The sequence below is a fragment of the Homo sapiens genome, chromosome 11 (assembly GCF_000001405.40).
Source record: "Homo sapiens chromosome 11, GRCh38.p14 Primary Assembly".
Lineage (NCBI taxonomy): Eukaryota > Metazoa > Chordata > Mammalia > Primates > Hominidae > Homo > Homo sapiens.
This window is the reverse complement of record NC_000011.10, coordinates 60,803,096-60,829,409: the sequence shown is the minus strand read 5'-3', so window position 1 is coordinate 60,829,409 and position 26,314 is coordinate 60,803,096. Positions and strand designations below refer to the sequence as shown.

Here is a 26,314-nt window from a genome sequence, read left to right as displayed (position 1 = left end):
TGACTTTAAGTGATCTGCCTGCCTCGGTCTCCCAAAGTGCTGGGATTACAAGCGTGAGCCACTGTGCCTGGCCGCATTCATGAAAATATTTTTATTTAACAGCTTCTCACTTAGCAGCAGGGTTTCCAGTAACAAATCCATTAAGTGGGGGAACAGGTGGATACTTGTCCATCCACACATACAGACGTGAGACACCTAGGGTCCCTGCTGTGCACACACACGGACAAGATATGCAACTTTAGTCACTAAATCCTGGTGGATGTGACCCAAGCCACATGTCAACTTTTTGTTGACAGCAAAACAGCGACATTGAGGGATGTTTCTTAGACAGAAAGAGCAGACCCATCTCCATGCTGGGGTGTGTATGAGGATGGGGGTAGTGACCTCTGGGGCTGGGTGTTACAAAGGGAAGGCCAACCCTGCAGCCAGGAGAAGGGGAAGATCGCAGAGCCCCAGAGGTCAGATGCTGGGAGGAGCTCAGCTCCCAGGATCAGCAGATGCCTTGAGTGCAGGCTGTGGCTGGGGGCTGTGGGGCCTGGTGGGTGGATCCTGGGAGTGGCTGCTGTGGCCGTGGGAAGTTCCTGAGCTGGGTTCAGGTACTGGAGTCGGGAGAAGAAGGAAGGGCCAAGGCCACTCGCCTTTAGTCAGCCCAGAAGCAGCCCATGTGACCCTGTGATCCTTTTAGGTTTTCCTTCTGTGCTTTCTCTGGCGATCCAGGCTTTCCTCTCTGCCCACAGCCCTCCACAGACCACGTGGTGGTAGCCTGAGCCCCCAGACCTTGTGCTTTGGGCTGAGTCCTTCTTGTAGCTCTGGTCTTCCCTGAGGAGAAGGTTGCCCGGGAGTCGTACCTGGATTCTGGGGATGGATGTGATCTCAGCCAGGTCACCTTAGTTCTCTGGGCCTCAGTTTCCTCATCTGTGACACGTGGTCAGTCTCTTCCCTGCCCCTTCAGGCCTGTCATGAGGGTCGGGGGAAGGAGCTTGTGGAAGCCCCTTGATGGAGGGAGCTGCTGTAACCACCGTCTCCCAGCGCATGTAAGGCTATAGTTGTCAGCCAGGATCCAGAAGCCTCACCGCTGCCCTTCCTTCCTGCAGCATCGGCTGCCACCACCAGAATCTGGCGGCACCATGCGGCACTTGTCCTAGTCAGTTCTACCTTGGTGCTGAGCTATAAGCTTTTGTAAACATCTTCTTCCCTAGCCACCTCCCTGTTCTCACATGTCCTTCAAGACAGCATCTCCCCAGTGTAGACCAAGTGGGGCTCAGCACGGCCATGGTACAGATGGTTTAGGATGGCAGGAGGGGTTCTGCCTGCCACTCCCCACACAGCCCTCTTGTTGTCCCTCCTCCCTCGGCTCCCCTGTCCAGGCTCTGGGGATCGAGTGAGGGCCTGCCTGTCCTGCAGAGACCTTGCCAACCCACTCACCAGCTGGGTGTAGCAGAAGGTGGCATGGAAGCCCAGGAAGGTAGACAAGAAGGCGATGCCTAGTGCCAGGATGGTGAAGAACAGCAGCAGCACCGAGAGACTCTTCCAGGGCACCTGCAAAACCAGGGTGCAAAGCCTGCAAAAACTGGGCAGTTTTACAGGCCAGCCAGTCCCGGAATCAGTCTGCAGATTCTGACCAAGGAGATGGATAAAAGAAGGGAAGCTTTCTAGAAGGGGAGTGACCTGTCATCTAGTGAGCACCTGTTACGTGCTTATTTTAATCTTAGTTGCCTTATTAGATAGCTACTCTGATTAGCCCCATTTCACAGAGGATGAAACAGAGGTTCAGAAAAATTGAGGTACTTGTCCAAAGCCACACAGCTGGTATGTGAAAGCTGGGATTCAGACCCATCCAATTCCAAGACCCATGTGGTCAACCATTCAGACTGACACCCATCAGCAAAAAAGTACAGAAAGGTCAAGTAAGAAAATACATGGAAAAGCATGTATTTGGCAGTAAGCTACTGGCGGCTGCCCTGAGAGGGCTTGAGGTCTGTAGAGACGGGAGAGGAGGAGATGGAGTCCGTAGGAGATTGTTGCTGTGAAAGGGAAGAGAGGGGAGACCACAGTCAGAGAGGGACACGGGGTCTCCGGGACTTGAGTTTCTGGACCAGAGGAGAGGGAGAGGCATGGATGGAGGAGAGAGCAGCTAGGGAAGGTGAACACAGTGGACTAGGGTCGTGGGGGCCTAGGAGGAATGATTTGTCCTCTACTGATAAGGAAAGCACAGAGAGGGGCTGGGTGAAGATCAGTTTCACGTGAGGTCACGGGCAGGAAGTTGAGTCTTGGGGCCGTTCAGGGACCCCAGGCTACAGGGGAAGGTCGGGGATTCTGGGGCAGCTGGGTCACTGAAGTGGTCAAAGTGTGGGCAGCAGTGGGCAGTGTGTCCCTCGCCCCTGCATGGTGTGTCAGACCCACCTGAAGAGAGTGTTTCTCCTTTCCTCTCTTTCCCTAGGATGAGAGCAGAGGAAACTCCTCCCCCAGTATTCCCAGCCCCATTTTTGCCACGTCCAGGTCCCTGGTAGCAATCTCATGACATAATCACATGTCTTTGAAAAGATGTGACCTCAATGGCCACAGCCAGAAGGCAGGACTCACTGATAAATCTTAGGTATTATTATGCTGGCAGTCCTCCTAATGCACCCTTGACCTCTATGCTCTTACAGGGGAACGTCCTTGGTAGGAGGCAAGCAGCTGGAATATCTTCCTCCAAGCAAATGATTATTATTTTTTTTAAGAAACAGGGGCTCACTCTGTTACCCAGGCTGGAGTGCAGTGGCATGATTATAACTCACCGCAGCCTTGAACTCATGGGCTCAAGCAATCCTCCCACTTCAGCCTTCCAAGTAGCTGGGACTACAGGCCTGCACCAACATACCTGGCTAATTTTTTTCAAAAAAATATTTTTGGTTGAGAGTGGGCCTCACCATGTTTCTCAGGCTAGTCTCAAACTCCTGGGTTCAAGCGATCCTCCCGCCTTGGCCTCCTAAAGAGCCACCACATCAGCATTAACACAGGAAAAACTAGTCCAGAGGGAAGTACCTGGGGCTGTCAAATCCTGGTGGAGTTCTGCCTCAGGGAATCTGGAGGTAATTGCTAAACACTTAAACCCTACTCCCAAAAGCTGGGTGTCATGGTACCTGCCTGGAGTCCCAGCCACTCAGGAGGCTTAGGCAGGAGAATCGCTGGAGCCCAGGAGTTTGAGGACAGCATGAGCAAGTTAGCGAGGCTCTGTCTGTATTTAAAGAAAAAAAAAATCCCACTCCCCATTTTAACTTTGACAATAGAGGATAAGAAAATATCTCTTGGTGGTGGTTTCTAGGATTAAATGGTGCCCAAAGAGTGGATGCTTATTCTCTGGGCCTGAGACACTGATCTGGGTATAGTTGTTGCTGGCAGCCAGCTCAACCATGAAGGCACACACCCCGAGGCTGGCACACAGTGAGCTGACCAGGTTTGGCCCTGTGCTGACCTTCACCTGCTAAGGAGACCGGAGCCCGAGTTACTACCCAGCGGGAAGGGGAGAGTGCTGGCTCACATGCCCTCTGTGTTGCGGGCTTCCTTTGCACGCTTTTGATCCTGGAGGAACCACTGACTTGCCCTAGGAGCCAGGAACCAGTGACCAAGGTGACAGCATCTCTGCTCCACCTGCTGGAGCCCATGGGCCACAGAGGCTATGTCAGCCTTAATAGCCAGGAGATGGATTTGTTGCAGGAGCACAGACAGCAACATGTGTGGCCACTTCTTCCTGCAAAGTCCATGGCAGACAACATCCATCAATCCTCAGAACCCACCAGGGCCGCATCGATAGAAAAGCTATTTGCCATCTTTTGTGGGTTGAATTGTATCCCCCCAAAAGATATGTTGAAGTCTTAACCCTGGTACCTGTGAATGGGATCTATTTGGAAATAGGGTCTTTGCAGATGTAATCGAGTTAAGATGAGGTCATAATGGATTATGACTGGTGTCCTTAGAAGAAGGGAAGGGACACAGGGAGAACAGCCCCTGATGACAGAGGCAGAGACTGGCAGGATGTGTCTACGAGCCAAGGAACACCAAGAGTTGCCAGCAACCACTGGAAGCTGGGACGAGGCCAGAAAGCATTATCCCCAAGAGCCTTCAGAGAGAACTCGATCCTGCCAGCACCTTGACTTTGGGCTTCCAGCCTCCAGAATCATAGACTACAGGTTTCTGTTTTCTTTCTTTTTTTTTTTTTTCTTGAGATGGAGTCTCACTCTTGCCCAGGCACGATCTAAGCTTACTGCAACCTCTGCCTCCTGGGCTTAAGCAATTCTCCTGCCTCAGTCTCCCGAGTAGCTGGGATTACAGGCAACTGCCACCACGCCTGGCTAATTTTTGTATTTTTAGTAGAGGCGGGGTTTCATCATGTTGGCCAGGCTGGTCTCGAACTCCTGACCTCAAGTGATCCGCCTGCCTCGGCCTCCCAAAGTGCTGGGATTACAGGCATGAGCTACCAGGCCCGGCCATGTTTCTGTTGTTTTAAGCTACCTGGTGTGTGGTAATTGGTTACAGCAGCCCTAGGATTCTAGTTTCCTAGGTTCAAAACAGACGGCTCTGGTGGGGATGGAGTCCCCTTTCTGGAGGTCGAACCAGGAGGTCCAGCAAGTTTAATGCCATTTGGGTCTGCATGCAACCTATCCGATTAGGGGTGACTTGCTGAGGTCCAGGCTGTATTAAAGGCATGGAGGAGCTGTGGTAAAGGAGAGGAGACTAGAAACAGACTCAAATTAGATACAGGAAGCTTCTATAGGACAGGAGGATGGTCAGGAGCTCAGACCTGCCAGTGAGTAGGATTGCGGACAAAGGCCCACTCCCTACTCGCCCACCATCCTGTGGAAAGGCCCCACAAGCATCCACTTTCATATAAGGTCTTCCAGGATAAGCTGTGCCCAGAGGCAGAAGAAATGTCTATGAAACTCACCCGGGGAACTGTGCAGTTTGCTGAGATGACCAGGGTGGTTGCTCCTGAAACTAAGAACTGCACAGAGAGGCAGGGAGATTGATGGTCTCAGGGAGCCCAGAGGCACCTGCCTCCTGGAAACCCTAATGCAGGGAAGGTTTGCCATGAGCATTTATGGCTTGGCACAGTGGGCCATGTACCAAGTGTCATGCGCGTCCGTGTGAAGAGAGTCCATCAAACAGGCTTTGTGTGAGCAACAAGGCTGTTTATTTCACCCAGGTGCAGGTGGGCTGAGTCCGAAAAAGGAGTCAGTAAAGGGTGGTGGGATTATCATTAGTTCTTACAGGTTTGGGATAGGCGAACAAAGTACCTTCTTAAGGGTACTTTGAATATTACAAAGTACCTTCTTAAGGGTACTTTGAATATTACAAAGTACCTTCTTAAGGGTACTTTGAATATTACAAAGTACCTTCTTAAGGGTACTTTGAATATTACAAAGTACCTTCTTAAGGGTACTTTGAATATTACAAAGTGGTACTTTGAATATTACAAAGTACCTTCTTAAGGGCAGGGGAGAATATATTGTGTCAGTTAGGGTGGGGCAGGAACAAATCACAATGGTGGAATGTCATCAGTTAAGACTATTTTCACTTCTTTTGTGGATCTTCAGTTGCTTCAGGCCATCTGGATGTATACATGCAGGTCACAGGGAAAATGATGGCTTAGCTTGGGCTCAGAGGCCTGACAACAGGGAGTAATGGGGCTTATGGGAACAGAGAAAGGCATCTAGTCCTCCCCACTGGGCTCTGCATAGGTTGGTGAGATAGGATTTTAGAAGGGGGCCACTAAAGATTCCTAGGTACCTGCCGGGCATGGTGGCTCATGCCTGTAATCCCAGCACATTGGGAGGCCAAGGCAGGCAGATCACCTGAGGTCAGGAGTTTAAGACCAGCCTGGCCAACGTGGCGAAACCCTGTCTCTACTAAAAATACAAAAATTAGCCGGGAATGCCCGAAAGATTCCTAGGTAACTGGTCCAGTACTTTTCAAACTTGACAGAGGACATGAGCGCCTAGGGATCTTGTTAAGCTGCAGACTGACTCAGCCCGTGTACGGTGGGGCTTAAATTCTGCATTTATTTATTTATTTATTTATTTATTTTTATTTTTAATTTTTTTTTTGAGATGGAGTCTCCCTCTTGCTCTGTCGCCAGGCTGGAGTGCAGTGGCGCAATCTCGTCTCACTGCAACCTCTGCCTCCCAGGTTCAAGCGATTCTCCTGCCTCAGCCTCCTAAGTAGCTGAGACTACAGGTCTGTGTCACCATGCCCAGCTAATTTTTATATTTTTAGTAGAGATGGAGTTTCTCCATGTTGGCCAGGATGGTCTTGATCTCTTGACCTCGTGATCCTGCCCGCCTCGGCCTGCCAAAGTGCTGGGATTACAGGCGTGAGTCACCATGCCTGGCCTGCATTTTTTTTTTTAAGAGACAGGGTCTTGCTCTCTGGCCCAGGCTGGAATGCAGTGGCACCATCATAGCTCACTGCAGCCTCCAACTCCTGGGCTCAAGTGAACCTCCTGCCTCAGCCTCCTGAGTAGCTGGGACTACAGGTATGTACCACCATACCCAGCTAGTTTTCCTTTTTAATTTTTTTTTCCTTTTTTATATCTTGTTGCATATCAACATTTTTTATTTTTAGTAGAGACAAGGTCGTGCTATGTTGCTCAGGTGTTCTCAAACTCCTTGCCTCAAGAGATCCTCCCCTCAGCCTCCCAAAGCTCTGGGATTGCAGGCTTGAGCCACTGGAGCTGGCCTGAGACTCTGCATTTCTAACAAGCTCCCAGGTGATGCCAAAGATGCTGGTCTCTGGCCCATGCTTGGAGGTGGGAGGGACTAGTCTCTCATTTTGAAGATGGAGAAACTAAGACTGAGAGAAGGAGGCAACCTGCCTAAGTCACAGGGCTGCTAAGTGATAGATCTGGATCTAGAAATCAAGTCCCAGGGGCTTTTGTTTCATTGTAGTGGCTGAGCGCCTTGACTTGAGTGTTACCCTCGGGGTAAGTCCCCAGGGACACCACCTTTCTCCTTCCTCGGCTGCATATATTGGGGCAGAGGCCCTTTGCCACGACTCCCCCCACCACACGCTGTGAACCAGCTTCAGCTCTTTAGCTGGCCGCCTCAACAGCCCAGTGCCTCCCCTGGGCCATCCAATCCCATGTGGGGTGGGCCTGGAACTTCCCCTCGAGCTCAGAACAGTTCCACCCCCTGCAGCTTCACTCCCACTTCACAGACTCAAACTCCCTCCCAAGGGTGCAGGGAGGATCTGCAGTCCTGGTCTTTGCAGTCCTCTCTGTCTCTGGGCCACCACCAAGTGGGATCTCCAGGGTCCTCAGGAGCACTCCTCCTGCCAGCGGGTACAAGTAAGTGGTGGGGAACTCGGTGGAGCTCGAGGAGGCAGCCAGGATGCGGCCCGCCCCCCAACCTGCCAGCCACCAGTTGCCAGCAGCTGATAATGATCTGCAGGGCCTGGGGGTGGAGGGGGGAGGGCGCAGAGCTAAAGCCTTGGGCTTTCGGGGTTGGGGCTGTGTCTCCCAGGACTTGAGTGGCTGGGCAGGTCTCTGTGCACATGTCTCTGCCGAAAAGGATCTTAGACAAACTCCCCATCCACCTCCTTCCTTGGCAGCCAAGAAAACAGAGGCCTGGAGAGAATAAGAACCTTGCCAACTTCCCCAGCCAGTGAGGGCAGGCGCAGAACCAGGCCTCTTCGTCCCAGGGGCACCGCAGGATTGCAGAACCCTAGAAAGCTTGGGTGAGGGCCATCTCAGGCATCAAGCCCAACACATTGGTTACCTCCAAGGTGCTGGCCCTGAGTGCACCGAGCTTGCTCTGTGCACCAAGTCATTTAGCTCTCACCACACCCATGAATGGAGCAGCACCCTGCTCATGGCATTCTAGGGACGAAGCTGGGGTCTCAGAGTGGGATCGGAGCCTGCCTCTGCCCATGTTCCCTAAGCCTCCATACCGCACATGCAAGCCTGTCCTTCCAGGGCACAGGGTTGACTCAGCCTAGGCTGAAGCCCAGAAGTTTGCGATCATTTGTCTCAAATAGGCTTCTCTGACCTGAGAGCAGCACTTTGACCTCACCCTCAACACTCCACCTCTCTGTCACCCAAGAGGAGTAGCTTCTCCCAGCAGGCTCCGCTCCTCCCATCGTTTCGTGCTCAACGGCAAGGTAAAAGAGACCTCATTTTCAAAACTGGGACCCAGAGCCACACATGCAGAGAACGGAGGAGCTAGGATTCCAGTGCCTGGCTGGGCCCATACTCTCTGCTCAGCTGCCCACATTGACATCAGCGGGAGACAGGCACAGACTTCTGCCCACACGTGCTGGTCTCACCACTGACCAAGACCCAATCAGCTACAATGAGGAGAGCCTTGATGCAGGGGTGCGGCATCAGAAAAGGAAAGCTCCCGGTTCACCCCAGAGTTGCCTTAGAGCGATGGTACCCAGCTCCTGGGGCCTGGCAAGGGGGACATAGGTTTGCTCTCGTATCCTGGATTCAAGCAGTGCTTTCCAGGGCAGTGGCAGCCCCAGCCCTTTGCTGCTAATTTTCAGGGCTGGAGGCCAGGAAGGAAAACCCCAGCAGCTCTGTCTTGCCTCCCTGCTGCTCCACAGTCCCTCCACTGGTATGTACCCTTGGCCCCATAAATTCTACTGACTGCATCACTGTTGGGATTGGCAGTGGCTGCACAGGTCTGTGGAGACTGGGTGATCCACTTACTCCCAAGATGGTTGGCTGTCCCCGGAAAAAGAGCTTCTCTCTGCTGGGGTGGGCATTGCCCAGGGTCTCAGCCTACCAGGATGGCTCCTCTGGGCTCTGCCATGGCACCCCTGAGTTTTCAGAAGGAGGGAGCCTCACTAATTGCTGCTGCCCTGTCAGCTGGCTTCAGAAGGCAGGTGGGCTGTGGGCTGGGCTGCCTCATGTCTCCTGGAGGGAGCTGGAGCCTGGGTCTTGCTTTTGACATTTCAGACACCTGCAGCACACACAACTGGGGTCCCAGGATGAGGAAGAACATTCACAGGCAGATCCCCATTTCCTGGGTCTCAGTTTTCCCATCTGAAAAGTGAAGCTACGTCACCAGGAGGAGTGATTGGTAAAACATGAATTGTGTGTAATTCTTAGCAGCTAAAAGCAAAGGTCAGGATGTCCACAGAGAGCAACGTGGTGGCTCTTAGACACAGGCTGAGAGGGGGAAAAAAAGAACCAAAATGAGACAAAACAATACCATACACACAAGTTAAATATGTGTACACTAATATCCTGTAACACAACATGCATTAAAACGTGCTGAAGTTGTTACCTGGGGCTGGAAGGCTGTGGGGAATGGAGGTAAAAGGGAGTTAATGAGACAGAGGTAAGGGAAGAAGTTTGGACCTGGTGACAACCACTACAACCTCATGCTTACCAGCATGCATTTATAATGTGGTAAGCCCAATCTCCATTTCACTCTTATGCAAACTGAGGACCAGAGAGGTTAAGTAACTTGCTTGGATGACACGGTTAATAAATAGTGGAGCTGGGATCTAAATCCAAGACAGCTGGCTAGAAAACCTGGGTTTTTTTCCTGCTTTACGATACATCCCCACTTATCTCCCAGGCCATTCCCTTCTAGTCCGCCAGGCTAGTTAATAACACCACCAACTCCACAGCCTACACCTGTCTGTATGGCTTGTTACCACTTACCTGGAGTCTTCACACATGGTCCTGTGCTTAATTACTAAGCCTCCTGTGTGATGAGGCCTGGGAGCAACCCTCCAGTTGGCTCAGGTCAGACAGACTGTAAATAGTCGGGCCTATATTGGAACCCATGGCTTCTGACTCCTGTCCAGTGTTCATCCCACTGCCTCCCTAAGCAAAAGTGAGAGACATTAAAAGAAAAATAAAAAGCAACACAAAAACAAAAAACCGAAAACATGCCTCCAATTCTAAGCAAACCCAGGAACAGAGAGCTGGGAGGTCCCTGGGATCCTAAGGCCTGAAGCTCTTGACCTTCACCTGGTCATGGGGCTCTCTGTCCAGCAGCCTGGACACATCTTCACCTCTCCTGATATCACTCCTTCTCTGCCTCAACCTGTGCTCTCACTGCCCTCCAAACATGCTTCACTGAGGTCATTGCTGAGCCTTTGCACAAGGCGTGTCTATGCCCTGCAACCCATTCCTTTTCCTTCTTTCTCCACCTGGTGTTTCCCAATCTTGCTTGATCATAAGAATCATCTGAGCACTTGCTGAAAATACAGTGACTTGGGCCTCACGTTTGGCCTTCTGAATCAGACTCTCTAGGGCAGGGGCCTGGGAATCTCCACGTTTAACATACCCCAGGTGACCCTTTCGATCAGGCCAGTTTGCAGGATACTGGCCCATCCAAACCCTCCCATCCTTCAGGCCCTGGTGGGTTTCAGTGGTGCCTGTGAGGTCTTCTGGCTGCGTAGCCCTCTGTGTTGATGATACAACCCCACACCCAAGCAGGTTCGTTAACCTCCCTGAGCTTTCATTTGCTCATCTCAAAAAGGGGGCAGAGGAATCCCTATTCCATGGGATCTTGTGAGATTAAATGGGATACTACATGCAAAGTGCCCGTGCAGTTCCCAGCACGTGGAGGTGGCTGCATCCATGTTAGCTTTTTCTTTCCTGCCAGACACAAATCAGCTGCAGAAATAATGGACTAGGGCCCTCTTGAGGCTTAAAACTGTGCTCACCCCTTGGGTCCTATAGACCTGTCTCAAACAGCTTGAGATGAGTCCTCGAGATGAGGCCGTCTGAGATGCCCACCTGTCCTCTGTGGAAATATGGGTACACCTCTCTGAAAAGCCTGTGTGTTTCTTTTGTAAGTGGGTATCTGCTAATCCTGACATCTGTCCAGGGCCATGTCTGAACCTCGGCAGTGGATTGGTGGGGCTGGCATGCTGGGAAGGCACCCCGAGCCTCAGGCTCATGGCTTCATGGAGCCCGTTGCAAAAGCCCTGCTCCTCCTGGCAGGTCAGCCCTGTTGCCACTTTCTCACTACTCCCTTAACTCTTTCTGGATATTTTTGGAGGAGTTATTTTTCTAGACTTCTCTGTCACCTGTTTGGGCCATGACAGTGGGGTAGAGCAACCATCAGGAAAAGCTGGTGGGTGATGCTATTGTGGGGATAGAGACCCCTACAGGTGATAGAGTTGGCAGAAGGAACTGGGAACATTCCTGACCATTCAGCAGGAGTTGGCAGGAGACTGCCAGTAGATGGAGGACTGTCTGGAGAGGGAGGAGACCCGGCTGCTTCTACTAACGGTACTGTGTGACCTTGGCAAGTCCTTTCCTATCTCGGGCCCCCACTTCCTCATCTGTGAAATGGAAGCATTAGACCCGATCATGATCCCCAAAGTCATTTCTGATTCTGACATTCTTAGTTTCATGGTTGGGATCAACTATACATTTCTACTATAATTTTTAAAAATTTAAACAGAAAAATAGCATCCATTGTCCAAACATGTGTGACTTCTGTGTCTAATACTTCTGAGGTCCTGCCTGGGCTCTGCCGATATTACCATATAATCCACATTTTCGGCAAGGCTCGGGGTCTCACTTGAGTTACCCACGGATTGTGCTGCACGACAGCTGCACTGGAATTCCAGTAAGTGTGCTTCCTTATGACAAGCCGTTCGACTTTCTGATCCTCAGCTTCCTCTTCTGTGTAAAGGGGGTGGTATTGTCATGGCCAGTCCACTGTAGGTGCTGGATAAATTCCTGCTGTTTCCTTTCTGCCCATTCAAGTTGGGGAGCAGGAGCCTGAGCCCAGCCCCAGCCATGTGGCTGCTCTTTCCTTAAGGGTCCTCCCCAGACACAAGCCGAGAGGAGGGCAAAGTTAGCAGATTTTTTTTTTTAAGAGATGAGTCTTGTTATGTTGCCCAGGCTGGACTTGAACTCCTAGGCTCAAGGAAGGAATCCTCCCGCCACAGCCTCCTGGGTAACTGGGACTACAGGTGTGCACCACCACGCCCATACAGATGTTTTATTCCAACACATATTAAGTGCCAGGATTACAAAGTTAGAAAAATCCCCACTAGTCTCCCAGTCTAGCAGAATTAACACAAATAACAGAAACTGACCCCATTCAGCTTCAAAAGGAAAAGGTTGGCTAACCAAGGACATAGTCTAAGGAAATTAGTCCCCAAAGATGATTAATCAATGGGATGGAGGATCCAGAAGGGTGTCAGGACACAGCTGAGCACTGCCAGGAGAAACTGCCATGTGAGTGCCACATGTCCAGTGTGAGGACATGGACCAGTGTTTGGGGGGACCTAAAGGTTCTTCATTGATCAAGCTTCACAAAGAATAACAAGTTTTCGGGATCTCCTACCTGTGCCATCCTAGGAATAAAGGCAGGGAGATAAGCCCCAGTCTTTGACCTCCAAGAGAAACAATAACAGGTCTGAGGTTCAAGTCCTGGCTCTGCCACTAACATTCTGTGTGATAGGCCAGTTGCTGCCTTCCCCAGGTCTCAGTTTCTCCATCTGTAAAATGAGAGTGATGGGCTAGAATGACTGGTAGATTGCATCCACCTGTTAGGAGTCATGCTTGTATGATGCTGTGACTGTTCTGGTCTTCTAAGGGAAGGAGTTGGAAAGTTATTTTATTGATTTGAGTCTACTCATGTTTTCAAATAAAAACATCTAAGACTATCAATGTCCCTCAAAGAACTGCTTTAGCTGCATCCCACAGATTTGTATATGTTATATTTTCATTTTCTTTCAGCTTATTCATTTTGTAGATGTGGGAACTTATAGCCAGAGAGGAGAAGTTTCCCTTCCCATTGTACCTCCCCAACATCTCCCCCTCCATCCCCAAGGCCACACACAGTGGGCAAACGGCAGGGCAAAACACTTGACTGGCCGTCTCACTTCTACTCATTTATTTTTTTGGACAATATTTGATGAGAATTCCACTTTTAAAATATAGATTTTGACTATTTGAACAAACTGTTGAAATCAAGCATACTCAAAGGTACATTGTGTTCCAGATTTGACTATTGGAATCCATTAATGTGTTTACTTGGGATTTTTTTTTTTTTTTTTTTGGTTATTCTTTTTTATTTTTTTTTAATTTATTTTTTTATTGATAATTCTTGGGTGTTTCTCACAGAGGGGGATTTGGCAGGGTCATGGGACAATAGTGGAGGGAAGGTCAGCAGATAAACAAGTGAACAAAGGTCTCTGGTTTTCCTAGGCAGAGGACCCTGCGGCCTTCCGCAGTGTTTGTGTCCCTGATTACTTGAGATTAGGGAGTGGTGATGACTCTTAAGGAGCATGCTGCCTTCAAGCATCTGTTTAACAAAGCACATCTTGCACCACCCTTAATCCATTTAACCCTGAGTGGACACAGCACATGTTTCAGAGAGCACAGGGTTGGGGGTAAGGTCACAGATCAACAGGATCCCAAGGCAGAAGAATTTTTCTTAGTGCAGAACAAAATGAAAAGTCTCCCATGTCTACTTCTTTCTACACAGACATGGCAACCATCCGATTTCTCAACCTTTTCCCCACCTTTCCCGCCTTTCTATTCCACAAAGCCGCCATTGTCATCCTGGCCCGTTCTCAATGAGCTGTTGGGCACACCTCCCAGACGGGGTGGTGGCCGGGCAGAGGGGCTCCTCTTTTCCCAGTAGGGGCGGCCGGGCAGAGGCGCCCCTCACCTCCCGGACGGGGCGGCTGGCCGGGCAGAGGGGCTCTTCACTTCCCAGTAGGGGCCGCCGGGCAGAGGCGCCCCTCACCTCCCAGACGGGGCGGCTGGCCGGGCGGGGGGCTGACCCCCCCACCTCCCTCCCGGACGGGGCGGCTGGCCGGGTGGGGGGCTGACCCCCCCACCTCCCTCCCGGACGGGGCGGCTGGCCGGGCGGGGGGCTGACCCCCCCACCTCCCTCCCGGACGGGGCGGCTGGCTGGGCGGGGGGGCTGACCCTCCCACCTCCCTCCCGGACGGGGTGGCTGGCCGGGCTGAGGGGCTCCTCACTTCCCAGTAGGGGCGGCCGGGCAGAGGCGCCCCTCACCTCCCGGACGGGGCGGCTGGCCGGGCGGGGGGCTGACGCCCCCCACCTCCCTCCCAGACAGGGTGGCTGCCGGGCAGAGACGCTCCTCACTTCCCAGATGGGGTGGCTGCTGGGCGGAGAGGCTCCTCACTTCTCAGACGGGGCAGCTGCCGGGCAGAGGGGCTCCTCACTTCTCAGACGGGGTGGTTGCCAGGCAGAGGGTCTCCTCACTTCTCAGACGGGGCGGCCGGGCAGAGACGCTCCTCACCTCCCAGACGGGGTTGCGGCCGGGCAGAGGTGCTCCTCACATCCCAGATGGGGCGGCAGGGCAGAGGCGCTCCCCACATCTCAGACGATGGGCGGCCGGGCAGAGACGCTCCTCACTTCCTAGATGTGATGGCGGCTGGGAAGAGGCGCTCCTCACTTCCTAGATGGGATGGCGGCTGGGCGGAAACACTCCTCACTTTCCAGACTGGGCAGCCAGGCAGAGGGGCTCCTCACATCCCAGACGATGGGCAGCCAGGCAGAGACACTCCTCACTTCCCAGACGGGGTGGCGGCCGGGCAGAGGCTGCAATCTTGGCACTTTGGGAGGCCAAGGCAGGTGGCTGGGAGGTGTAGGTTGTAGCGAGCCGAGATCACGCCACTGCACTCCAGCCTGGGCACCATTGAGCACTGAGTGAACGAGACTCCGTCTGCAATCCCGGCACCTCGGGAGGCCGAGGCTGGCGGATCACTCGCAGTTAGGGGATGGAGACCCGCCCGGCCAACACAGCGAAACCCCGTCTCCACCAAAACCAGTCAGGCGTGGCGGCGCGTGCCTGCAATCACAGGCACTCGGCAGGCTGAGTCAGGAGAATCAGGCAGGGAGGTTGCGGTGAGCCGAGATGGCAGCAGTACAGTCCAGCTTCGGCTCGGCATCAGAGGGAGACCGTGGAAAGAGAGGGAGACCGTGGGGAGAGGCAGAGGGAGAGGGAGAGGGAGAGCTAAAGCCTATCAATAGCTAAATATGTCAAAAAAACATTCTGGCCTTTGTTTGGTGAGAATTCATGTCACGGTAGGAGGAAATCTGAAAGTTAGGAATCAAAGTTTGCATGCATTTTAAGGGTGTGCTACTGATATGCACAGGGAGTGGGTTTGCTAATGCCATCCCAGCCACTGATGCAGCTGGACTGGGTACTTGGGATGTTTGTTCATCCCATATCTGCTGTCTTTGACTTAAAATTTCTCCTGCCAACTATGTTTTATGGAATAGCACTGCAAGATTGTCAGACAAGCTGGTAAAAACTATTATCATTTGCAACTACTTGTCTTTTTGATTTAGGCCTTTGCTGACACTATGCAATCAGATCAAATTCAGAAGAGGATGAGTGGATGCAGCTACTACACTCCTTGGTTTCAAATTTTGTGCTAATTGAAACTGCCTCATTGCTCTCATTGATTTTCTTTGTAACAGATAAATGCTATTAAATTGAATTGCAAAATATATAATAAAATACCACCATTACTTGCATTACCTACCATAAGATTTTGCTTTTATAAAGTTCTGCCACTACAAAAATTATCTGGGCGAGGTGGTGGGCACCTGTAATCCCAGCTACTCGGGAGGCTGAGGCAGGAGAATTGCTGGAACCTGGGAGGCAGAGGTCACAGTGAGCCGAGATCATGCCACTGCACTCCAGCCTGGGTGACAGAGCAAGACTCCATCTCAGGAAAAAAAAAAAAGTTTTGCCGCTAAACATTGAAGACTCTTGCCTAATTTTTCTGCCTTTCCAGATGCTGACACAGCTGCAGTGCTTCTTGGTCACTGTGTACCCACAGATGCTTGGGGTGGCATGCATGCAGCCTGAGGGATAGTTCCAGTTCTTCCTTTTAGTCACCTTCTAATTCTCAGGCTGGTCATTTCCATCAGCCTCAGCTTCCTTGGCTGCATAAAGAGGAAGTAGACTACAGTAACTTCAGCTGATGCCTGAAGTACCTGCTGGCTGGGACAGTCTAGGACTCTTTAAGTTGGAGCTCAGGGCATTAATGCACAGGGTGGTGTTAATGCTGTGAAGGTAGCTGATGATAGGAGACAGCTAGATGGAGCAGGAATGGAGAGGCTGGTCTTCACAGAGGCAGAGGGAAGAATTTGCAGGTGATTTGAGCAGCTAGTGTACTGCCATCTAGGTCACTGTTATGGTTTGGGTTATGTTATGGTTGGGTCACTGTTATGAGATATGGGTGTCCCCACCCATATCTCATATTGAATTGTAGTTCCCATAATCCTCACGTGTCATGGGAGGGAGCAGTTGGAGATAATTGAATCATGGGGGTGGGGGAGGTTTCCCTCTTCCTATTCTCGTGATAGTGAGTTCTCATGAGATCTGATGGTTTTATAAGGGGCTTTTCCCCCTTTTGTAATGGACTTCACTCTTGCCTGCCACCATGTAAGACGTGACTTTGCTCCTCCTTTGCCTTCTACCACAATTGTGAGGCCTCTCCAACCATGTGGAACTGTGAGTCTTTTTCTTTATATTAAACCTCTTTTTCTTTATAAATTACCCAGTCTCTCGTATGTCTTTATTAACAGCGTGAGAACAGACTATTACAGTCACCATGTTAGGGTCTGTGCTGCACATTCTCCAGGTGTCCCTCCAGGATCACTCTCCCTACTTCTCCATCCTCCCTATGCCCAGGACTGGAGGTGGATGATGCATATAAATTGCATCATCCTCCCCTCTCCTTTTTTTCAGCCAGGGTCTCATTATGTTGCCTAGCTGGAGTGCAGTGACTATTCACAGGTGTGATCATAGTGCACTGCAGCCTCCACCTCCTGGGCTCAAGCAGTCCTCTCACCTCAGCCTCCAGAATAGCTGGCACTATAGGTGTGCTCCACCACATCCGGCCCCTACCTTCTTAATTTCTATCAATTCTATGCACCCCCTAACTAAGGGCACCCCCCTGGCCCATGCTACAGTAAAAATAGAGAAGGGTAAATCTCTACCCCATGTCTTGGTGCATGTTCAGATGGGGATGCCCAGTGACCAGAGAGGACAGCGAGATGGCTGGAGTGTTCCAAGAGCACTGGTATGGAGGAAGCCAGGAAGGAGAGAGTTTCAAGGAGAATTAAGATGTTAATTTGGAAATTCAGTTACGTGGTCAACAATACTTTGCCATTCTTTGGGGATTCTAATTCATACCCAGACCATGACAGAGATTTGGTGAGAGCTGTGGCCATTGCCAGTTCCACCCAACGTGTTGTTTCTCCAAGATTATGTGCAAAGGCGTGGTGGAGAAAATCTTAATTCAGTTTAACTGGCCAAGCCCTTAATTTGTGTTTTATTATAAAAGACAATAGAAGATGTCACTGTGCTGAAGGAGCTTGTGGTTGAGTAGGGAAGATATGCATACACCAAAGGGCAATTGTCTGTGGTCCTTGGAATTTGACCTTTCTGCTTCTTGGGTCTTGCCCATTTATTTTTTTATTTTTTGGAACTAAGGGACAAGCCCTTTCTAGTTGATGGCCACTCACTGTTGTCTTGCACCCACTTTATAACTCATTTATGCCACTAATCTGAGCCCTGAAGGGCTGTGAGTGTAAAAGCCTTAAAACTGGATGGTAAAAAAGCTGGGCGTGGTGGCTCATGCCTGTAATCTCAGCTACTCGGGAGACTGAGGAGGGAGAATCACTTGACCTAGGAGGTGGAAGTTGCAGTGAGCCGAGATTGCGCCATTGCACTCCAGCCTGGGGGACAGAGCGAGACTCCATCTCAAAACAAACTAACAACAAAAACCTGGACAGCACACATGACAGCCAGGCCACAACAAGGCACCACACACACAACAAGGTGTGTATTGAGGATAAGAAGGAAGGATGAGGAGGGGGATGGGGCGGGATGGGGGCTTCCAGATTTCCAAGCAGAAGAACCAGACAGAGGGGAGTGGAGACCTAGGACATTTGGAGGTGGCGGTGCGGGGTGGATGCCAGGTTTTGGGTGTGGCTGGAGCAAGAGATTTCTGAAAAGGAGAGGAGGCTGGTGGGGTTCTCTACTGGCTGCAGAGGCCACTACTGAAGGTACACATGGATAATACACATGCTCTTCCAGGCTTTTCTCTTTGCCCCACCCAGAAAGCAGCCATGCCTCTGGGGCAGGTGGGTTGGCTGCATCGCGTACGGCTCTCTGGACTCACAGGGGAGTCAGACTCCGAGATAAATGAGGCTGCCGAGGAGCCCTGGCTCCCTTCTTCCTTCCCTTCCTCTCTTCAGAGCCCGCGAAGCCACATTCTCCCACAGATGGGGGGTAGGGGATCTGTTGTTCTCTGGGAGCTCCTCTTGGAGGAGTCTTGCAGGATTTTTGGTGGCAATGAGGCCTGGGGAAGAAAGTGAGTGGAGGCAGCCACGTGGATATCCAAGGAAGCCGTGTCCTGGGAAGGCCTGGTGGGTGGTGGGGGCAGGCAGGCAGAGGCTGTGGCTCACCGAGGGGCAGAGCATGTGGGGTTGGGAGTGGGAGGACCGTGTTGCCCTGCCGCACCCATGGGCCAGAGACCTCGCACAGCCCCCTTGGGCTCAGGCATTTGCTTCCTCCTCTAGCACAAAAGTAACAGGCCATAATCAGCTCACAGACAGGGCCTGCTCCCTTCGCAATGGGAGTTTCCCCGAGCATTGCCCTGGAGTCAGGAGCAGGTGCCAGGAAGTCTCTGCGGCAAAGAAACATCCGCCTTTCCTGCTCGTTGGAGGGGCAGAGGCCAGGAGAAAAATCAGCTGTGCTTTTTTTCACCTTTGTGCTCCAGCCTCTAGGCTCACTGCCTCCCCTTCCTGGAGAGAACAGAGAAATCTGTCAAGGTCTGAGGTCTAGGTTTTTCTTGTCTGAGTGAGTGAGGAGACAACTGGGGAGGTAATGTCATCTTTGAGTCTCAAGGGCTGCCCTACTTATGTTTCCAAGGTAGGTATTCTGGGGAAGATTTGGCCCATCAAAAAAATAAAATGGAGTTGTCTGAAGGGGGCTGAGGGAGAAGAGAAGACAGATGGGAGCTTGGCTAGGAAATACAGACTGGCCCTTTCTAGGGGAGGTGGGAGGCCTGGAAACCTGAGGGGTGGTGGGTGCGGGTTCACAAATGGTGGCGCGCAGGGATGGATCACTCTGCACCCGGACTCCAGGGCAGTGGGGAGGGGCTCACTGGCAGGCCCAGCCCACCCCACCCTGAGGGTGTGAGGGGCATACCCAGGGTGGTCAGCAGCATTGTGTAGCCAAAAGGGCAACAGAGCCCACCATGGATGTGGTCCTTCCTCCTCCCCACTATTATAAGGACAAAGCCCTGGAGTTTCCGTAGAACCCATTGGAGCCAGGCAGAACGCAACAATGACTGAGAAAAGCAGGCGGGTGGGGTTCACAGCCAGGTTTCGCTCAGTTAAGAAAGGTAGAGACATGGAAGGTTTATTTGCCTGTGGTGCCCTTTTAATTCCATGGTGGAGCGTCATGTGCCTCAGCCCATGGTTTCCGTGTGAAATCATCCTGAGAAGGCGGGGAAGTTACTTTATTTGATAGGTGCCTGACAACATTGCTCTGAATAAAGAGGGTGATGATGCAGCGGGACACACACACCTCCCACGCATACACAGGCGCACACCCATGCACACGCCACTCCTGTGTACAGGCACAGACACTCGCACACACTCTTGGGCTGTCTTCTCTCATCTTGGAATCATCCTCACCCCCATGGCTTCTCTTGCTTCCCATGACCACACCTCCCTCTGTCACTAGTTTTTTCTCGGCCCTCTCTTCCCTCCGTCCCTCACCTTCCTGCATCCTTTTGTAGCCAGGCTGGCTCCTCACCTCGTGTGGACTGGCTTGGCTTTGATGGCCAGGGAGGCTTCATGCAGACAGGTCCTTTGTGTGGCCCTGTGTGAGCCCCCTCACCTGGGCAAGTCCCTTACAGCCCTGACCCAGCTCTACCACTCACCTGCTGTGCCACCTTAGGCAAGGCACTTGACCTCTCTGAGGGCGAGAACTGCTGGCCAGAGCAGGGCAGGGGACTCACTGTGGGAAAGGTGAAGGGCAGGATTAAACGGGCAAGAAGTTCCTCAAATACTGGAGCCTGGAGTGTGGTTTGCACAGTGGTTTGCACTGGAGCTGATGAACCAGTGGGGCAATTGCTGGCTCCCATCCAGGTGGGAAATTATCCAGACTTTCTATACTGTGGTCCTAGACAGATCTTCCCAGGACACAAACCAATGGCTCCCTATGGCCTACAGCACAATCTGGACTCTGGGGCCTCATCCTAGCACAGGGTTCCCCAGCCTCAGCAGTACTGGCATTTGGGGCTGGCTGCTTCTCTGTTGTAGGGCTGCCCTTAGCATATAGGATGTCTAGCAGCGACCTCGCCCTCTACCCAAGATGCCAGTAGCATCCCCATCCCTGTCATTACAACGAAAAATGTCTCCAGACGTTGCCAATTAGAACCACTGCTTTAGACTAAATAAATGGGAGCTGTTGGAGGTGGGGGCAGGTTGGGAGGGGGCTGGGGATTTTAAAGGCTTCCCAGATGGTTCTGATCCACGTGGGACCTCTGAGCTGGCCCCACTGCTGCTGCATCCCTACTAGTCTCTGCCTTGCCCAGCAACCCAGTCACGTCAACTTCGAGCAGACCCCAGACAAGACGTGGAACCTCTGAGGAGGTTCAACCGTCACGCTCTGTCCCCCTTACCTCCTGCCCTGCCCAAGATGTTGGGGTAGAAAAAAGTAAGGTTTAAATAGCTAGGGCATTCCCACCAGCTTCCTCTCTGTGAGCTGATGCCCGGAGTGAGTCTATGTGGGAGAGGGAATGTGGTGTTCCCGCAGTTGGTCTGTGTTGTGTTATTAAACTATTTGGGAAATTTAAGAGATCTTCAAGGGCAACTTTGACCCTCCATAATTTTTCTTTTCTTTTTTCTTTTTCTTTTTTTTTTTTTTAGGTGGAGTCTTTGTCGCCCAGTCTGGAGTGCAGTGACGCGATCTCAGCTCACTGCAACCTCCGCCTTCTGGGTTCAAGCAATTCTCCTGCCTCAGCCTCCCAAGTAGCTGGGACCACAGGCGTGCACCACCATGACCAATTAATTTTTGTATTTTTAGTAGAGACGGGGTTTCGCCAAGTTGGCCAGGGTGGTCTCAAACTCCTGACCTGAGGTGATCGCCCGCCTTGGCCTCCCAAAGTGCTGGGATTACAGGTGTGAGCCACTGCGCCTGGCCATCCCCTGCATGATTTTTATCTTGTCCACCGGCTTGGGATACTAATCTCTGTGTAATGGGAATTTCCTGTGTTTGGAGGCTACACTTGCTCCCTGCTTCTCTCATCTCATGCCTTTGTCCATGCTTGCCCTGCGCCTGGAATATCATTCTTCCCCCTGGGACTCAGCTCAGGCATCTAATCCTCCTACAGCACTTCCCTGGCTGCCCCAGCCCAGGCCGAATGTGGCTTGCTCCTCTGTGTTCCTATGACGCCTGGCCCAGGGCCTCCTAATTTCACTGTGTTGTCTTGTGTTGATTTTTTCACTCCCTGGAGCCATCTTGCAGAAGGGCCTTTTCACTTCTGTTTCAGAGACAGAAGAGCCTGGACTTTGTCGTTGATCAGACGAAGGCTTGAGTCCTGTTTCTGCCACCATGAAGCTGCGTTAAGCAGCCTCTCTAGGCCTCCATATCTTTATCTGCAAAATAGAGACAACCACAGCCCTTTTCTGAGAAGATCCTTGAGGATGACCGGGCCTGGTGGCTCATGCCTATAATATCCCAGCACTTTGGGAGGTTGAGGTGGGTGGATCACTCAAGGTCAGGAGTTCGAGACCAGTCTGACCAACACGGTGAAACCCTATCTCTACTAAAAATACAAAAATTAGCTGGGAGTGGTGGTGCGTGCCTGTAATCCCAGATACCCAGAAGGCTGAGGCAGGAGAATCGCTTGAAACCAGGAAGAGGAGGTTGTAGTGAGCCGAGGTCATGCCACTGCACTCCAGCCTGGGCAACAGAGTGAGACTCTGTTTCAAAAAAAAAGAGAAAGATCCCTGAGGATGAAGAGATGCTGATAAACTGCTCAGCCACTTCTGGCACAAATAAACTGACAAACGGAGGCGGCATTGCAGAGCGGCCACGAGTCATAAGTTCAGGTTCTGGCATCCAATGGAGTGTGATTCCTCGTTCTACCACTTTCTTGCTACGTGACTTTCAGGAAATTACTTAACTCCTCTGGGCCTGAGTCTCCTAATCCATAAACTGCTTTTTGTGAGGACTTCTTGCAAAAGTGCTTAGAATGGTGTCTGGCATAGAGTAAGCACTCAGTAAAGGTTAGCTATTGGAGTGGAATAAAATTTAACATGGGGATGTTTGACGACTACCAGCCTCCAGGCTGCCAAAGATAATTCTGTGATTGCCAGTCCTGTCCACTTGTTCTACAACTTCTCTTGCCTCTGTGTGCCTGTGATGATCTTTTGATGTGTCAGTTTGGCTGGGCTACATCCCCAGCAATTCGACCAAGCATTAATCTAGGTGTTAATACCTGTGAAAGTAGGCCGGGCACGGTGGCTTACGCCAGTAACCGCAGCACTTTGGGAGGCTGAGGCAGGTGGATCACAAGGTCAGGAATTTGAGACCAGCCTGACCAACATGGTGAAACCCCATCTCTACTAAAAATACAAAAAATTAGCCGGACGTGGAGGCACGCGCCTGTAATCTCAGCTACTCAGGAGGCTGAGGCAGGAGAATCGCTTGAACCCTGGAGGCGGAGGTTGCAGTGAGCCAAGATCCTACCACTGCACTCCAGCCTGGGTGACAGAGTGAGACTCTGTGTCAAAAAAAAAAAAAACAAAAAAACCTGTGAAAGTATTTTGTAGGTGTGATTGAATCCACAATGAGTTGACTGTAAGTAAGGGAGATTTTCCTAGATAATCTGGGTGGGCCTGATTCCGTTGAAAAGCTTAAAGAATAGAACTGAGGTTCCCCTGATGAAGTTATTCCCCCTGTGGACAGCAGCTCCAGCTCTGCCTTCCCGAGTGTCTGCTCTGCCAATTGTACACTTGCGCCTGCAGCTCCCCCTAATCGTATAAGCCAATTCCTTGCAATGAATCTTAGTCTATATGTCTCACTGTTTCTGTTTCTATGGGGGAACCCTAACTGATAAGAGCATCCAGCACCTGGCAGGGGCCTGACACACCATGGGGACAATCTGCTTCTGAACGGATGCAAGGCAATCGGACTGTTTGGAAGGAAGTGAGGAGGTGGGGAGGAAGTGATCACAGCCATGAGGGGTGGTGAGGGGCAGGCTAAGGGTTTTGACCTGGGAAGAGCTAAGTCTTTGTGCAGAAGAAATGACAGGGCCAGGACAGCTCAGACACCTGCAGGCCTCTTCTCACACAGCCTCTCCTTCTGGCCATGCCCTGTATTCCAGATTAGGTCTCCATCACATTCTCTCATAACGCCTCTCAATTTCCCTTTATGGTAGTTATACATTCGCAGGTGTGATCGTTGGATTAGTGCCTGTCTCTCCCACCAGAGTCCGAGCTCTGAGAGGCTGGGGTTTGCTCATGGTGGTTTGCCCCTGGACATAGCATTGTAGGGACTCAGTCTTTACCTGTGGAATGAATGAAGAGTAAATGAGTGCAATGCCGTCCTGCCTCTGTGACCTGCCTTAAGGTCATGGAGACGGAGAAGGAAGAGGGTGTGGCTTTGAAGTTTCTTTTAGGCTCCCAGGGTCGGGCTGGGGTTAGAGTTTGCAGAATTATCTCATAGTCTAGGGGAGATGATAAATTTGGGAGCCAGGAAGTCAGGGTGCTGGATGCAGATAGGAGTTGGCCGTGTTCCTGCTCTCAGGCTCCTAGGAAAGCAGGTGGGGCAGGCTGGGGAAGTGTGGTGGTAGCTCAGGACCGGGGTTCTAGCCTCATGTCCATCAAAGGTCTGCTGGATAACTTCACTAAGCTTCATCTGGGCCAAGTTTCTCCATCTGTCTCATGATGGGTTAGTTGAGATGATCCGCAAAGATTCTTCCAACACCAGAGTTCAATGAGATTAGGAAGTAGAATTCTAGGTTCAAGGGCCGCAGTAAATTTTTAATCTCAACTGCAGAGTGCAAACCCTTGCACCTCCCTTCTGCAAACAGAGTGGAGTGAAGAGATCTACTTGCCTTGTTTTCCAGACTTCAGTCCTTCAAGCTCTAACTTCATGACTTTATTTTTTAATATTTTTATTAATTTATTTATTTGTTTTTATTGAGACAGAGTTTCGCTCTTGGTGCCCAGGCTGGAGTGCAATGGCTCAATCTGGGCTCACCGCAACCTCCGCCTCCTGGGTTCAAGCGATTCTCCTGCCTCAGCCTCTCGAGTAGCTGGGATTACAGGCATGCGCCACCACACCCGGCTAATTATTTTGTATTTTTAGTAGAGACGGGGTTTCACCATGTTGGCCAGGTTGGTCTCGAACTGCTGACCTCAGGTGATCCACACACCTCTGCCTCCCAAAGTGCTGGGATTACATGTGTGAGTTACCACACCCGGCCTAACTTCATGACTCTAAAACATTTGTGTTTTGTGTCGCTATTTGTTTAGTAAGTTTCCTTAAGTGGCCTCTTTTTTAAATCAATGATTTTTAGTATGGGCAGACTTATGCAAGCATCATTACAATTAATATTAGAACATTTTTGTCACTCCTTCAGAAAACCCCATATCCACTATCACTGTTTTAACTTACATATGTATATTATAAAAGAGCACTTGATAGCACTACCATAAATAGAAATTCAGTATCACTTGCCATAAATGGAAGATACGCATAAAAGTAAACCCAATGGGCATTCTGGCTAATACAGTGAAACCCTGTCTCTACTAAAAATACAAAAAATTAGCCGGGTGCGGTGGCGGGTGCCTATAGTCCCAGCTTCTCGGGAGGCTGAGGCAGGATAATGGTGTGAACCCGGGAGGCAGAGCTTGCAGTAAGCCGAGATCGTGCCACTGCACTCCAGCCTGGGTGACAGAGTGAGACTCTGTCTCAAAAAAAAAACAAAAAAACAAACAAAAAACCAAAACAAAACAGCACAAAAAAAACCAAAAACCAAAAAAAAAAAAAAAAACCCAATGGGAACAAAACTGTGTTGTCGAATTCTGGCTCTATACGATTGCCTGCTGCACGCTGGGCTTGCTGTCTTAGTAAAAGGAAGGAAGAACAAGTGTTAGGTGTTAAAGATATAGCTGTCCCAGGCTGGGTGTGGTGGCTCACGCCGGTAGTCCCAGCACTTTGGGAGGCCGAGGCGGGCGGATCATGAGGTCGGGAGATCGAGACCATCCTGGCTACCACGGTGAAACCCCGTTTCTACTAAAAATACAAAAAATCAGCCAGGCGTGGTGGCACGCGCCTGTAGTCCCAGCTACTCGGGAGGCTGAGGCAGGAGAATTGCGTGAACCCGGGAGGCAGAGCTTGCAGTGAGCCGAGATGGCGCCACTGCACTCCAGCCTGGGTGACAGAGTGAGACTCTGTCTCAAAAAACAAACAAACAAACAAACAAACAAAAAAGATATAGCTGTCCCAAACCAAGATTTTGTCCTTAAATAAATCTAAGAGATTGAAAAAGAAGTAATCCCTAACAGGTTTCCCCTCAGCGTCTCACATTTTGGGGACCACTAAGGTTGGGCTTTCATATCCATGGTCTCTTCGGAGCCTCACTATAACTCTGTGAGGGAGGGATTATCATTCCCATTTTACAGATGAGAAAACTGAGGCTTGGGGAAGTTAGCTGTTTTACCTGAGTTCCACAGAAAGTGGTTGAGGAAGTTCTTAGTTCCAGGTGCTCTTTCTCCCTGAGAGCTGCTGCCCCCCACTCCTGCCCTAGAAAGGGTGAACACAGCCTGCCCCTCCCCAGGCTCAGGAATACTGTGGCAGTATCTTTGTTAGGGAATGAAAGGATCTGCCTATGGGGACCCAGGGCCCTGAGCCTTCTGGTTTATTTACCTCAAGGCCATTGAACTGACATCTCTAAGTTAGAGCATCCTGAGGCCAGATGTTGGCCGTGACATCGTCCTTTTGTCTCACGGTAGAAACCTCGAGTGCTAGAGCTGGCCAGGAACAAAACCATCATCTGGTTCAGTGTCCCCTAAACTTTATCCAGACTTGTGAAGTCCCTGTACATTGTGATGGGCTTCATCATCATATGACTCCTCCAGATATATTTCCAACGACTCTGCATTTTGCGTGGCCCAGGATAAAAAAAGACTCTGAGTAAAAAGAAAAAAAAATGGAGTTCGAGTCATTGGTTTTAATACAGTGTTATAAAGCTAGGGTTTAATACATGTGAAAATTTTCTATAGTATATGTTCAGATATTACAGAAAGACACACTTCAACATTTTCCTACTT

At 51.0% G+C, this 26,314-nt stretch overlaps 1 long non-coding RNA gene across 1 annotated transcript in view, besides 1 other annotated feature; it reads left to right on the top strand.

The window, feature by feature from the left end:
• The window catches only part of LOC105369322 (uncharacterized), a 43,823-nt gene that overhangs the window by 6,738 nt on the left and 10,771 nt on the right, over positions 1–26,314 (top strand). The gene's annotated exons all lie outside the window — the stretch shown is intronic.
• Positions 13,703–14,438: an enhancer, noted in NCBI's record as "H3K27ac hESC enhancer chr11:60582445-60583180 (GRCh37/hg19 assembly coordinates)". NCBI's record gives its function as "activates a minimal SCP1, AML or CMV promoter by ChIP-STARR-seq in naive H9 embryonic stem cells {active_cell/tissue: H9 hESC(naive)}" and the evidence as "EXISTENCE:reporter gene assay evidence [ECO:0000049][PMID:30033119]".